The sequence below is a fragment of the Homo sapiens genome, chromosome X, assembly GCF_000001405.40.
Source record: "Homo sapiens chromosome X, GRCh38.p14 Primary Assembly".
NCBI classification, from domain to species: domain Eukaryota; kingdom Metazoa; phylum Chordata; class Mammalia; order Primates; family Hominidae; genus Homo; species Homo sapiens.
In genome coordinates, this window is record NC_000023.11 from 44,328,131 (window position 1) to 44,344,421 (window position 16,291).

At 40.3% G+C, this 16,291-nt stretch overlaps 1 protein-coding gene across 3 annotated transcripts in view; it reads right to left on the reverse strand.

Annotated features, from left to right (window-relative positions):
• The window catches only part of EFHC2 (EF-hand domain containing 2), a 195,801-nt gene extending 180,259 nt beyond the window's left edge, over positions 1-15,542 (reverse strand). For all 3 annotated transcript variants that reach the window (XM_047442535.1, NM_025184.4, XM_047442536.1), the window contains exon 1: positions 15,417-15,542. In XM_047442535.1, the coding sequence (XP_047298491.1) occupies positions 15,417-15,458 (42 nt within the window). In that variant the 5' untranslated portion in view covers positions 15,459-15,542. The remainder of the gene's footprint in view (positions 1-15,416) is intronic.

Sequence of the window (16,291 nt, forward strand, 5' to 3'; positions counted from 1 at the left end):
CATTCCCAAATTCCTTCTCCCTTGCAAGTCTCCATTTAAAAACTCCAGAAAAAGCTACACACTGCACTTGTTTCCTCAGCCTCTTTTTAGGAGTCTGTTTTGGAATTCTATGAAGGATTTTTGCTCTCTTGAGCCAAGGGACAGATACAGGTCACGTTCCCCTCATTCACCTCTTCTTGCCTTGAAATGTATATATGATCCCTGGAGCTGCAGCAGCCATCTTGGGATAATGGGCAAGATTGCAGAAATGCTGGCTGAGACAATGCTGAGCCTCTATACATGTGCCAGCAGCCATCTACCTCTGAAGCAAGAGAATAGGGTCTGGAGGCAGGGAACCTAAGGCCAATTTACGCTGACTTCTTAGAACTAAATCAAAAGGAAAACCACAACTTTCCACACCTAAGTAACAAAAAGACCCAAGGGAGGCTACTCCCTTTGCAATCTCCCCGTGACCCCCACCTTTTTCTGCATGGCAGATGGAAAATTGAAAGTATCTGATTGGCTGCAGAAAGCAAAAAGTATCTCTGATTGATTGCAGAAAGTTTGCATAGGAGTGTAACTATGTAACTTCACTTTAGCCTCTGATTGGTTGCTTTCCACAACCAATCAGATGCTTGCATAGGGTGTAACCTTTGTAACTTCACTTCAGCCTCTGATTGGTTGCTTTCCGCAACCAGTCAAACTGATTGCTGGGCCACTACTTCATTTACATAGGGTCTACGTCAAGTAACCAATGGGAAGCCTCTAGAAGGTATTTAAACCCCAGAAAATTCTGTAAAGGGGCTCTTGAGCCCCTATGCTCCGCCCGCTCCCGGACTGTGGAGTGTACTTTCATTTTTAATAAATCTCTGCTTTTGTTGCTTAATTCTTTCCTTGCTTTGTTTGTGCATTTTGTCCAATTCTTTGTTCACGATGCCAAGAACCTGAACACCCTCCGCTGGTAACACCTCCAGGCTTCCTACTTGGTGAAAAAAATAAATCCCTGCTTCTTTAAGCCTCTATTAGTCAGGTATTCCATTACTTTCAGGAGAAAGCATTACAAACTAACGCATGCAGTCTCTAAAAGCTATCTTTTAATTTTTTTAGCAGAATAAGATTATTAACTGACCTAAAGAGTAATTTTCTTTATATATTAGGAAAAACAAAAAAAAGACAAATAATCTTGACAAAGAAAAATAAAGTGGGAGGAAGAACTGAACCTGATATTAAGGTTTACTATACAGATACAGTAATAAAAACTGTGTGGCAATGGCAGACGGATAGACACAGCGACCAATGGAACAGAACAGACAACTCAAAAGACAACCCACACGAATATGCTCAAATGGTTTTGTAAAAGATTCAAAAGCAATTCAATGGAAGGATATCCTTTACAACAGATGGTGCTTGAGCAACTGGGCATCTATAGGACAAAAAAGTTCATCATGACCTAAATCTCACACCTTAAATAAAAATTAACTTAAAATGGATCACAGAATTTTTTTTTTTTTGATACAGGGTCAAACACTGTCCCCCAGGATACAGTACAGTAGTGTGACCACAGCTTACTGCAGCCTCCATCTCTCAGGCTCAAGCCATCCTCCCACTTCAGCCTCCCAAGCAGTTGGGACCACAGCTGCACCCCACCACACCGGGCTTTTTTGTATTATTATTTTTGTAGAGTCAAAGTCCCCTTATGTTGCCCAGGCTGGTCCTGAACTCCTGGCCTCAAGCAATCCTCCCACCTCAGCCTCCCAAAGTGCTGGGATTATAGGCATGAGCCACCATGCCCGGCAGATCACATTAAATATAAAATGTAAAACTATAAATCCTTTAGAAAAAAACAACAACATAGGAGGCCAGGCACAGTGGCTCACACCTGTAATCTTAGCACTGTGGGAGGCTGAGGCAGGTGCATCTCTTGAGTTCAAGAGTTTGAGACAAGCCTGGGCAACATGGTAAAACCCTGTCTCTACAAAAAAAAAAAAAAAAAAAAAATGAGCCTGGTACGGTGGTGCACACCTGTTGTCCCAGCTATTGGGGGGCTGAGGCAGGAGGACTGCTTGAACCTGGGAGGTTGAGTCTGCAGTGAGCCGAGATTGTGCCACTGCACTCCAGCCTGGGCAACAAAGTAAAACTCCATCTCAAAATAAACCATCACAGGAGACAATCTTCATGATGTAGGGCTAGGCAGTGAGTCCTTAGACTTGACACCAAAAGCACAACTCATAAAAGAAAAAAACCGATAAATTAGACCTTAACAAAATGAGACACTTTGGCTCTACAAAAGATACTGTTAACAGGATGAAAAGATAAGCCACATACTGGGAGGAAATATGTGCAAACCACATCTCAAAGGACTAGTATTCAGAATGCATAAAGAATTCTCAAAAGTTAACAGTAAAAAAAACAAGGCTGGGCACGGTGGCTCATGCCTGTAATCCCAACTACTTGGGAGGCTGAGGCACGAGAGTCACTTGAACCTGGGAGGCAGAGATTGCAGTGAGCCAAGATCATGCCACTGTACTCTAGCCTGGGCAACACAGTGAGACTCTGTCTCCAAATAAATAAATAAATAAATCTTAGTAAAAAACAATCCAATTAGAAATGAGCCAAAGACATAAACAGACATTTCACTTAGCTGGATATACAGATGACAAATAAGCACATGAAAAGATATTCAATTAATTAACCATCAGAGAAATGCCAATTAAACCCACCATGAGATATCACTACACACCTCTCAGACAGCTAAAATAAAAATAGTGATAACACTAAATGCGGACCAGGGTGCAAAGAAACTAGATCACTCATATATTGTTGGGAATCTAAAATGGTAATTTGCTCTCAAAAATAGTTTGATTGTCTTTTTATAAAATTAAACATGTAAGTATCAAATAACACGCAATTACACTCTTGGGCTCTTATCCTAGAGAAATGAAAATGTATGCTCACACAAAAACCTGTACATACATGTTCACAGCAGCTTTATTCATAATAGCTAAAAACTAGAAATAGCCCCAATGTCCTTCCAAAGGCAAATGTAAAGAAATTGTGATACATACATGAACTACTACTCAGTAGTAAAAATGAATGAACAGTTGATATACGCAACCACCTGGATAAATGCCCAGGGACTTATACCAAGTGGAAAAAACAAATTCCAAAAGGTACATACTTTATGACTCCATTTATGTAACATTTTGAAATAGCAAAATTTTAGAAATGGAAAACAGATTCGTTGTTGCCAGGGGTTAGGAATGGTAGGGTTGGGGGAGTTGGTGGAAGGGAGCGAGGTGTGGTTATAAAAGGACAACATGAGGAATCCCTGTGGTGATAAGACTGTTTTATACCTTTACTGTGGTGGAAATGTATACATTGCACCACATGTGTAGGTTAGACTAAATACACACACACAAACATACAAATGAATACAAGTGAAGCTGGGGAAATCTGAATAAGATCAGTGGAGTATATCAATGTCAAGATACTGATTGTGATATTATACTATAGCTTTGAAAAATGAGCTGGACACAGTAGCTCACACCTGTAATCTCAACACTTCGGGGGGCCGAGGCAGACAAATCGCTTGAGTCCAAGAGTTCGAGACCAGCCTGGGCAACATAGCAAGACCCTCCAACTCTAGAAAAAATAATTTTTAAAAATTAGCCAGGTGTGGTGGTGTGCACCTGTGGTCCCGGCTACTCAAGGGGCTGAGGTGGGAGGATCGATTAATCCAGGGAGGTCGAGGTTGTAGTGAACTATGATCATGCCACTGCACTCCAGCCTGGGTGACAGAGCAAGACCCTATCTTACAAACAAAAAGAAAAGAAAAGAAAAATGTTACCATTGGGGCAAATGGGGTGAGGGGTAAATAGGACCTCTCTGTACTCTTTCTTAAGTGAATCTACATGTCAATTTACAATTATCTCAATAAAAACTTCAATTTAAAAAAAAAAGGAAAGAGAAGGTCCACGTTCCTTAGTCACTAGGAGAGGCTCTACTCACGTGCCTTTTATAAAGTTTAGGTCTGAACACAGCTGAGCAACAAATGACTAAACTCTAACCGAAATGATATGGAAATAGTCCTGTAAGTGATTAAACAAACATCTGTGCTTGAATTTAACAGAACAGTATGTTTCAATTACCAAATTCATGTGAAGAAGAAAAGGTAGTCTAAATTACAGTTAAACCATGCAATTGACCTAAACTTCCCCCCACCCCCAACCCCAAAAAAATCTAGTTGTTTTGACCATTCCCTCCTTTGGGATGTCAAACATACCATTAGGAAAGCAAAGAATTTGTTCAGTATTCAGCTGGTCAAGCTGTTCACTTTGCCACACTGGAGTCACCAGGTAGAATTTGAGCACCCAGGGGCCTGGGTAAGGGGGAAATAAAAATGCACATCCCTCAATACCCTTTGCTTTAGGGAATCCCCCCTCTGCAAGAAGTTGGCTCTGCCCTTTCTGCAACTATAGAAACAGAATAAACTCCCCCAGGAAATGGCCTAAGAAATCCCTTTACCATTAGCATAGCCGGAATCCTACTGAGGGGAGAATGGTCTCCTTAGGAGTCCTGACTGATGAATATGCATAGACAAACCTGCTGCTTCCAGGAAAACCCAAACTGGATGCCAATAAGAGAGAGAAAACTATCCCTCAGCATGGTGCAAGAGGCCACAGAGAGGCTTTGTGTCACAATTTAGATAGGGACATCTTCATATTGCCCTGGCTGCTGTGTATAAACCATGTATCCCGAGAGACTTATCTCCTATTTAAGCCACAAAAGCAAATGACTTTCTTCATCCTTTATATTCACTATTGCTAAAACAAGAACTATTTTGTTCCACAGCAGCAGCGGAAGACATAAGCAGGAAACTAATTCCAGAGAAGATTCCCCCAAGCTGTGTTTATTTCCATCTATGTTTCAACCATGGTTGCTGCAGGTAGAGGCAGCAATGGACAATCACCTATTAAGGACCCGGTTTGTGTAAGGAAGGCACTGAGAACGTGAAGGGCAACCCAAAGAGCCACCAATCACAGTTTCTTAGTCAACTGAGGACTGCCACGATCACACATAAAGAACACAAAACACAACGCAGGAAATAAGGCGGTAAATGGGCAATATGAGCATGCAAGCTTATGTAGACAGATGGTTCTTGCTGAGATGATCGGGGAAGGCTTTAATGAGGAGGGGGGATTAAAGCCAAGTTTTGAGGGAAGGTCAGGATCTAGATGGGAAGAGGAAGAGGCATGAGGATGCTGCTATCAGGCAAGGGGACAAACAAACTAATAATTGAGTGGAAAAGTCCAAAATATACCCAAAGGACAAACAGTGAACATGCTGGATTAACTGGAGTATTAGGCTTGTTTCCCATTATGGAAAAGAAGATAGTTTACAAAGAACAGTATTCTTGGTATCCTTCGCAATATTGATATACTCATGTGTTACTTGTATAATTTAAAAACACAAATTGTAATGAAAGGGATACTACTAAGTCTGACAATACCAGACTCACAGGTATTGTCTGTGGCTGGTGTGACAAAGTTTGTTGGCCACTATTGAACCCTCTTTTCCCTTTCCCACCTCCAAAAGTAGATGGTGAAAAAAAAAACAAGATAATTTCCCAGCATTCCTTGTAGTAAAGGATGGCCATGTGCATCAATTTTAGCAAATAAGATGGAAGGAGGGAATCTACTGGGGGGCTCCTGGAAAACATTTTGTTTTCTCATATAAGAAGAGCTGTTTCCCCTCCCTCTCCTTCCTGCTTGTCTTGAACATGGTTACATGTAGTTGTGATGACTGGAACTGAGGCAACTATTTTGCAACTATGAGGTCACAAGCCTAAGAAAGAAAAGCCAATATTCTGAAGATGGCAGAATGCAGAGATAAAAAGAGCCTGGGTTCTTTATGACATTCATCAGTCACTGCCTAAATCTGAAACTGCTACACCTCTAAAGTTCTTATGAGAAAATTAATTTGGCTTAAACCACTGTTAGTCAGGTATTCTGTGACTTATAGTCAAATGTACCCTAGGTGACAGAGCTACGAAGTTCAGTACAGAATGCATGGTGACCAAAATTAGGTGTTTGAATCCTACATAGGCAAAGAGACTCTAATTCCTGAAATTCAAATGAACATTTAGGAATAGCAATGGAATATGTTATTTCCAAAGTATGGATGGCAGCTTCAATAAGCGGCCCAATCTGAAATAATGTAATTTCAAGGATATTTTAATAGTTACTGGGAACAAAGTGACAGAATTCTTTATATCAAAACTATCCTGTGATCTAGCATAGTAGACAGCAATTGTTTTGTCTGCCCAGCAATCCCATACCACCAAAACTGGATTATTTGCCTTTTTGTTTGTTTGTTGGCTTTTTGAAATGAAGTTGCACTCTTGTTGCCCAGGCTGGAGTGCAATGGTGCGATCTCGGCTCACCACAACCTCTGCCTCCCAGGTTCAAGTGATTCTCCTGTCTCAGCCTCCCGAGTAGCTGGGATTACAGGCATGCGCCACCACGCCCGGCTAGTTTTGTATTTTTAGTAGAGACAGGTTTCTCCATGTTAGTCAGGCTGGTCTCAAACTCCTGACCTCAGGTGATCCGCCTGCCTCAGCCTCCCAAAGTGCTGGGATTACAGGCATGAGCCACCGCACCTGGCCTATTTGTCTTTTTATTATTGAGTTTTGGGAGTTATTTACATATTCTGAATATAGTCCCTTATCAGATAATATGCTTTATAAATATTTCCTCCCACACTGTCAGCTGCTTTTTCACTTTTCTGATAGTGTCTTTTGAAGCACAGTTTGGCTATTTATTGCAACATTATTGGATAACAAAAGACTGGAAATAATGTAACTGTACACCAAAAGGGGATGGTTGAATAAACTATTGTAAGTCTACAAAATGGAGTACTATGTAACTATAAAAAGAAATGAGGAAGAGCCCTATATACCACTACCAAGTGATCTCCAAGATATACTGTTAAAATGAAAAAAGGAAGGTTCAAAAGACTGTGTAGATTATGCTACCAAGTATTGAATAAAAGGGGAACATGTGAATAAATTTAACAATTTGCTGTTTTAAAAATTAAAAAAAAAAGAAAGAAGAGAAGGAGGAAGAGAAAGAGGATAACCTCAAACTAAATAAAGTTTTTTCTTTAAGTTATTATGGAGAGAGGGAGAGAATAAGATTGAAGAGACAGAGATAAAAGCTAGAGCTCTCTGAAAGTAACTTACTTTGCAAATTTGACTTTGAGACCATACAAATGCCTTTTTTTAAGTTCAGAAACAAAAGCACAATGAAACAAATGAACCTAACTAGATACTGAGTTGGTGACTTAACCATACCGACAGCAATGATTTAAATGAAACTAAAACCCAGTAATTTGACTATACATTCCTGGTGGGATATACTCTCACAACAGAAATAGCTATAAAGAAATCTTAAACTATTTTCAAAACTCAAATTGTTAATAATGTTATTATTAATTAAAAATTATTATATGGTTGTATATTTTTATTTATGTTAGGATAAGTAATTCAGCTAATGTACTTATGAAGCAAGATTACATGTAAATATATAAAATCAAAGAAGTAAAAACCCTATAATCCTTAATTTGCATTGAAAACAATAGTTTTTGAACTCATGTTATATTTTATCCTTAAATATATGTACATATTTTTTAGCCTTGCTTTAAGAGAATGAAAATTCAAGCCATAGACTGGAACAAAATATTTACAGACCATACATTCAATAATAGACTTGCACCCAACTTGTATCCAGACTATATTAAAAATGACTTTCAAAACTCATCAGGCGGATCGCCTGAGGTCAGGAATTCAAGTAAGGAAACTCCCCAATTAAATATGAGTAGAAGACACGAACAGACATTTCACCAAAGGGGATATACGGATGGCAAATAAGCACATAAAAAGATGTTCAACATCATAGCCATTAGGGAAATAAAAATTAAAATCAAGAGGAGATACCAGGCCGGGTGTGGTGGCTCAGGCCTGTAATCTCAGCACTTTGGGAGGCCGAGGTGGGTGGATCACCTGAGGTCAGGAGTTCAAGACCAGCCTGGCCAACATGGTGAAACCCCGTCTCTACCCAAAATACAAAAATTAGCCGGGCGTGGTGGCACACACCTGTAATCTCAGCTACTCGGGAGGCTGAGGCAGAAGAATAGCTTGAACTGGGAGGCAGAGGGTTGCAGTGAGCCAAGATCGCGCCACTACACTCCCCTGGGCGACAGAGTGAGACTCAGTCTCAAAAAAAAAAAAGAGAGAGAGAGAAAAGAGGAGATACCACTATACACCTATTAAAATGGCTAAAATCCAAAACACTGGCAATACCAATTGCTTACAAGGATTTGGAATAACAGAAATTCTCAATCATTGCTGGTGGGAATGCAAAATGGTAATTTCTTATCAAGATAAACACACACCTACCATATGGCCAGTTCAAAATTTACATAAAAGTAAGCATCCTGCCATTCATAGGAGAGCAATGACCATTTTGCTATAATTTTCAACTTCTTATACATGTAAGCAAAGCTTTCCTTGTTTAACAAGTATTGAAAAGGCCAGAAATCTTCTCATTCCAGTTGAAAATGAAATTGATGTGTGCTTATTTCAAGCTTGACCCGGAATTATTTATGTGGCAAAATATAAACACAGATTTCAGAGTGGAGAGGTAAATTTTATTATTTATTTTTAGCTTTTAAAAAATAAGACTGTTATGTACATACAGGTCTATAAAGAAATCAAGATTATAATTTTGTAACTGCCTATATTTAAGCCCAATCATGTCAGTCAGTAAAAGAACCTAATTTTTAAGTCTTGTATAAAATTATATCTTAGGTTATATTTTTACTCATAATGCTTTGTCATATAGTTTTAGTAGCTTTATTATGTAACATTGTCAATACATTTTGATGTTGAAAACAGCATTAATTACGAGTTTACAACCTTTATTTAAATTAAATCATCTTAGCCTACTTTTTGAAAAAGTAAATTCCATCTTAGATATAAACAGAAATAACTTGAATTATTTAACATGTTTATATTATGCTGACTGAAAAGTTTTTTGAATGTATGGAAAGGAAAGAAAGGTAAGCTAAGTTTAACTATCTGTTTTGGGTTTTTTTTCCCTCAAAAAAGCTGGTAAAAAGTCCTTTTCAGTTTTTAATAGGGGAGAAAACTACTTTTGTTCATACCATATACCATATATCATTCCTCAATAGCACCCTCTATAATAGAAACTATAGAGAACTTTTAGGCCTACTTGGATAAGGTAAAAAGGAAAAATAAATCAAGTAGAAAATTTTACCATAAAACAACCTGAAGTTTCCTCTTCTACATTCCCACTTGCTTTAGGGTTGATAACCCTTTGTGAGAAAGGGAAAGAGTAGGTAAATAAGTTGGCTGAAATCAAGAGATCCACAGAAAACTACCATTTTTTACTTTAAAAAGACAATTATTATTGGATTATTATAGCTACAATATTCTCATTCCAGTTGAAAATGAAATTGATATGTGCTTATTTTGAGTTTAACCCAGAATTATTTATGGGAATTTATTTATTTCACATAAATTCGGAACTGGCCATATGGCAGGTGTGTGTTTAACTTTATAAGAAATTACCATTTCGCATTCCCACCAGCAATGAGTGAGAATTCCTGTTATTTCAAATCCATGTGAGCAATTGGTATTGTGTTTTGGATTTTAGCCATTTTAATAGGTATACAGTGGTATCTCATCTTGATTTTAATTCTTATTTCCCTAATAGCTATAATGTTGAACATCTTTTTATGTAATTACATATTTATTATCACAGATTGTGCTAATGTACCATGGGCTATAGATATAGTTTTTATGCAGGAGTTCTCTAAGACCTCAAAATCATTTCAAAGACTCCTCCAGGGTGAAAAGATTGAGATTTGAGGTGATGAAAATGTTCTGAAACTAGTTAGAGGTGTTAGTTGTTGCACAACAGTGTGAATGTACCAAGTACCACTGAATTGTATACTTTTAAATAGTTAGTGGTTAATTTCATGTTACATGAAATTTACCTCAAAAAATTTAAAAATATACATTAAGAAAGGCTGACAAGGCTCTTTGAAGGGTGAGAGATGAGATCTGACCTTGAAAGAAGCTGAAGATCTAAATTTAAATAAGAATTGCCCAGTCTGGACAATACAGTGAGACCGCATCTCTACAAATAATAATTTAAAAAATTAGCTGGGTATGGTGGTGCATGTCTGTAGTCCTAGCTACTGTGGCAACAGAGGTGGGAGGATGTCTTGAGCCCGAGAGGTTGAGGCTGCGTGCAGTGAACTGTGAGCTGTGATCCTGCCACTGCACCCCAGCCTGGGAGAAAGAGCAAGACCCTATCGCAAAAAAAAAAAGATGGAGATGGCTCGAATGAGTGTTTTTCAAACACTGATTGCACAACCACAGTAATAGGCATATTTTAGTGCAGGCCAGTTCACATACATACACAAGCACACACAGGAAGGACAAAAAGGTCCGTGCAACACTTAACTCCTCTCAAGCATAATACACTCTAATTCTTCATTCTACCCCACTCTCTTCTTTTTCTTTTTTCCTTTTCAAAAAAAAAAAAAGCTGGTCATGATTCATTAAATTCCTTTTTTTTTTATTGCTGCAAATTCAAATATGTTTTCTTTTTTCTTAAGGAGGACTTTGCTTCACTACAAATTAGATGATGGGCTATTTACAGCAAACCCTCCTAAGATGGTGGCAAGGTAGCTTCATTAAAAGCAGAAAGAGCGGCCAGGCGCGGTGGCTCACGCCTGTAATCCCAGCACTTTGGGAGGCTGAGGCGGGTGGATCAACTGAGGTCAGGAGTTCGAGACCAGCCTGATCAACATGGTAAAACCCCAATTCTACTCAAAATACAAAAATTAGCCAGGCGTGGTGGCACACACCTGTAATCCCAGCTACTCAGGAGGCTGAGGCAGGAGAATCGATTGAACCTGGGAGGCAGAGGTTGCAGTGAGCCGAGATGGCGCCATTGCGCTCCAGCCTGGGTGACAGAGCGAGACTCCATCTCCAAAAAAAAAAAGCAGAAAGAGTGAGCTCTTCATCATTCATTAGAGACACTCAGGATCAGGATGGGCCACACAACCATCTGTCCAAAATACTGCAGAAAGGATTTTTGGCTTTGGCTGGAAATGTCCCTTTTAATTTTAATATTTTCAATTTTGATAATATGCCCAAGATTCTCTTGCTCAATACAAGTTCAGCATGGAAATTGTTGGAAAAAAGATACAGTGTATCTAGAATTTAGTTGTGATATTTCCCTAAGGTTTTCAACTCATATCAAAATAATTGTAATGTCATCAGAGGTACAAATGTTCATATTTTAGAAGGCACCATACTTCTTGTATTTGAGAGAGAGAAATACAGGTTGCGTATCACCTAGCCGTGGACAGAAATCAATCTATTGCTTTTGACTGACCACTGGCAGCTAAGTAAGGGGCACATAAGTTCCTTTTCAATTCTATGGAAAAGCAATAAAAGTTAGCTGTGTTATAATTTTAAATCCAAACAGCCAAGTAATTATGCTATCTACAGGAGGCCAAGGTTTTTCACTTGGTAATTTAATTCAGCAAGCAGGGGAGGGGGGAAGGGCAAGACTAAAAGGCCAGATATGGCTTTACTGACTTTCTAACCATTCTATGCCAGAGAACATCCAATCTTTTAACTAAGTACAAGTTTTTAAAATATTAATTTGTGGGCAACACACAGTACATTTAGTACCAAGGCTAGTGTAACAATTTTTTAAATGTAGTCACCTAATTTTGGCATATACTAGGATACTCAATAAATAAATACTGATTTGTTGAATGAGTCCAAGGTACTGTCATTCTCTAGTACACACGCACATACACACATGCACGCACACACTCCCATTGTTCTCAGGCATAAAGTAAATAAATGTTTTAAATATTCATGAGTCTAGAAATAGACCCACACGTAGCTGGATGCTTGATTTTTGACAAAGTGGCTCTGCAGAGACATGGAGAAAGAGTGATCTTTTCCAAAAATTATTCATCAAAAACATCATTAAGAGAAGGAAAAGGCCAATCACAGACAAGAAGATACCCAAAATTTATATAGAACTTCTACAAATCACTAAGAAATAGGCAGACAACCCAGTAAACATTAGACAAGAGATAAGTAAGTACTACACAAAAAAGTAGTGACCAATAAATGGTCATACAAATAAAGCCAGGCACGGTGGCTCACGCCTGTAATCCCAGCACTTTGGGAGGCTGAGGCGGGCGGATCGCCTGAAGTCAGGAGTTCAAGACCAGCCTGGCCAACATGGTGAAACCCCGTCTCTACTAAAAATTAAAAAAAAAAAAATTAGCCAGGCATGATGGCGCATGCCTGTAATTCCAGCTACTCGGGAGGCTGAGGCAGGAGAATCGCTTGAAGCCAGAAGGCGGAGGTTGCAGTGAGCCGAGATTGCACCACTGCACTCCAGCCTGGGCAACAGAGCAAGACTCCGTCTAAAAAAAAAAGCAGTGACCAATAAATGGTCATACAAATGACCAACAAACGTGTAAAACATGCTCAATTTCATTAGGAATCAGGAAGTACAGATTATAACTACAAAGAGTTGCTATACCCACCAACCAAAATATCTAAAATTTAAAAGACTAACAATACCAAGTGTTAGAAAGAATGTGGAGCAACAGGAACATAAAATGCTGTTGGGAATTTAAGTAGTATAATCACTTTGACAGCATCTACTACAGCTGAACATACGAATACTGTATGATCTAGCAATCCTACCAAAAAACATGAACAAAAATAGTCACAGTAAAACTATTCTTAACAACCCCAAACAAGCCAAATATTTATCAAGAGTAAAATGTATATATAAATGATGTGAAAAACATACAATGCAATACTACAGAGTAATAAAAATGTACAAACTACCTCTATAGACAGCCACATGGACAAATCTAACGAACATACTGTTGAGCTAAAAAAGCCAGTCACAAAAGAATAAACACCAAACATTTCCATTGATAAAAGGTTCAAAGGCAAGCAAAACCTAATTATAGTGATAGGAGCCAGAACAGTGGTTATATCTGGAGAGTAGAGATGGGGTAATGAACAGAAAGGTTCATAGGTAGAGTTGTCACATAAAATACAAGATTCTCAGTTAAATTTGGTAAACAATAAATAATCCTTTCCCATAAACAGGTTCCATGCAGTATTTGAGATATGTATTTTTATTCGCTAAATCTGGCAACCCCAGTCAAGGGTGGTATTTTTGGAGAACAGGTCATATTTTATTTTATTTATTTTTTTGAGACAGGGTCTGGCTCTGTTGCCCAGGCTGGAGTGCAGTAATGCAATCATGGCTCACTGCAGCCTCGACCTCCCAGGCTCAAATGATTCTCCCACCTCAGCCTCCTGAGTAGCTGGGACTACAGGCATGTGCCACCACGCTTGGCTAATTTTTTCAATCTTTTGTAGAGATGAGGTCTTACTATATTGCCCAGGCTGGTCTCGAACTCCTGGGCTCAAGGGATCCTCCCATCTCTGCTTCCCAAAGTGCTGGGATTACAGGCGTGAGCCACTGCGCCCAGCCCCCATATTTAATTTCTTGATATTCATTTTGTGATCATCCATTGTGCATCTTTCTGTATATGTGTTGTACTTCATGATCTTAAAGTTTTTTAAAAAGCAAAAATATACGCAGAACCTTGCAGATTTATTAATATTTCATCCATCCACTGTTTTTCCTTCCCATCCTTAATCACTGCACGTGAGAGCTATGATACTTCTGCAGGAGGCAGGCACTGGTAATCAGAGTGTTGCTGGGCAAAAAGCTGTAGGCTTTACTTTCATTTTTTATTAAAATTACTTTTACACAGCATGCTTCTTTACTTCTGGAATCTGTTTTCATGTCCCGTCTCTCAGGGGCCTTTCTTGTTTGCGTGACTGGCTTAAACTTACCAAAGGGCAATGCTATGCTGGAAGGCCAGCCTCTGCCCATCAACCAAGAAATGCACAAATCAGTGTTCAAAGTTGGACTGACCAGACGTGTAGGGGTCAGAATTCAATGGCGTGAAGCTACAAAGAAAAAACTTGTACTTCAGGGCCAACAACTTAGATACAGACAGTGTTTGGAAACCATAAAGCCAAATACTTCAATCTGCTGCCTGCTTTCTAAAGTTATCAAAGGTTTACACAATTGCCTTGAGTGGCTCCATCTAATTCCCTCCCATCTAATTGGGAATTAGCTTCTCCTGCAGACACAGATGGCTGACCCAAGTGAAGGGTAGTAACCAGTATAAACAAAAGCCTGAATCATTTTCCTGCTGTCGTTTAAATGAGGTGCTATTTATTGGCAAAAGTTCTTTCATGCTCAGGGTTTTTTGTGTTGTGTTGCTTTGTTCTGTACGTTCATCTTCTTTTGAAATGAACCCCTCCAGGACAGGCGCAGTGGCTCAGCCTGTAATCCCAGCACTTTGGGAGACCGAGGCGGGCAGATCACTTGAGGTCAGGAGTCCGAGGCCAGCCTGGCCAACATGGTGAAACCCCATCTTTACTAAAAATACAAAAATTAGCCGGTGTGGTGGCGGGCGCCTGTAATCCCAGCTACTCGGGAGGCTGAGGCAGGAGAATCGCTTGAACCTGGGAGGTGGAGGTTGCAGTGAGCCGAGATCGGGTCACTGCACTCCAGCCTGGGCGACAGAGCGAGACTCCGTCTCAAAAAAAAAAAAAGAAATGAACCCCTCCCAATTATAAATAGAGAAAAAAAAAATCCCTCCAAGTTTGGGTGCCTGTCTCTATAAAGTTTGGGAGTAAACTTTACAGGCTGATAGAACTCTTATCTGCCACCTACCCCTCTTGATAAGTGCCAGATTTCTTCAATTTGATAATTGAAACGGTATCTTTTTTCACACAGGATACTGGGGATAATGATTAGGCTCCTGAGCTGTGGAGACAAGGTTGCTTGAAAGAAACCCAGCTTCACCACTGAGACTGTGTGGTTCTGTGCCTCAGTTTCCTCAATAGTAACTGGGAATAAAAACTACCTAATTCAAAGGGCTGTTGGGACACTGGATGCTGCATAAGGTGATTAAAGCACAGCGCCTGGCACACATTAAACCCCCAATGGTTATCGTCACTATTATTTGTTACCTTTGAGGGTCCTGCCACCTATAAGGACTCTCTCTATATATTTCTAAATTAGGAAAAACATTCAGATGCAGCTGGAGAGATGGGAGAAGCAGCCTATAAAGTTTGGTCCAAGTTGCCACCAACCCAGGGCAGCAGCATGGGGCCTCCAGGAGAGTCTGCGGAGGTGGCCACGCCACGACCCTGCCTGGACCCCAGACTCCAGCCGGGAGCTGTGACCTCGGACGCCCTTCCTACTCACGTTGCGGTTGAAGCTGTTGCCCGGCAGCAGAGGCAGGGCCATGGCGCTCAGTGTCCGAAAATCCAGGGTCCCAGAAGAGAGGGCCCGGCAGGCAGCGGCGCCTCCCGGCCGTGTTGTTTGGCCCCCACGTTGCCTGGAGACGGGAAGCGGCGTCACGGAGGGAGGAGGGGCGGGGGGTTGGCGAGAAGGATCGTGGGGGGCGGGGGACACCTCCGCGGCGCGTACCTCCTCCCCAGCCCCAGTTCCCCTCCACCCGCTTCATCCCCGCACACACTCAGCCAGGTCCTGGTCTCCTGAGGAGTCTTCTCTCTGCACACGCAGTGTGCACACACAAAGATTGACTGTTCCCTGCCCCCGCCGCTTTCTGGTTTAACCCCCTTATAGAACTCAAAGCCTTTCTTGTACTTTCTTGCTTTTCCAATTCTTGTCGCCAACAGTTTTTTGCTATGTGGTTCAAACACACAGCAAAGTACAGAAAGTAATATGACGCCCGTGTGCTCACTGAGATGTTACACAAGTCGATATTTTCCTATGTTGCATAGACATCAGCTTTTATTTTGTAATTAAAACGTTCAAGATGAATCTAAAGCCACATATACCCTGACGAAAACGCGTTGTAATGGTAACCACCGCCTTCAGTTTTTCTTCTGGATATTTTTATATTTGTTGTTTGTTTGTTTGTTTGTTGTTTTAAGACAAGGTCTCACTATGTTGCCCAGGCCGATCTCGAACTCCTGGGCTCAAGCAGCCCTCCCGCCTCTGCCTCCCAAAGTGCTGGGATTACAGGTATGAGCCACCGTGTCCGGCCCATTTTTGTATTTGAACTAAACGTTTGTAAGGCCCAATCAGGGGTGGCCGGGGCGGAGTCAGGTGTC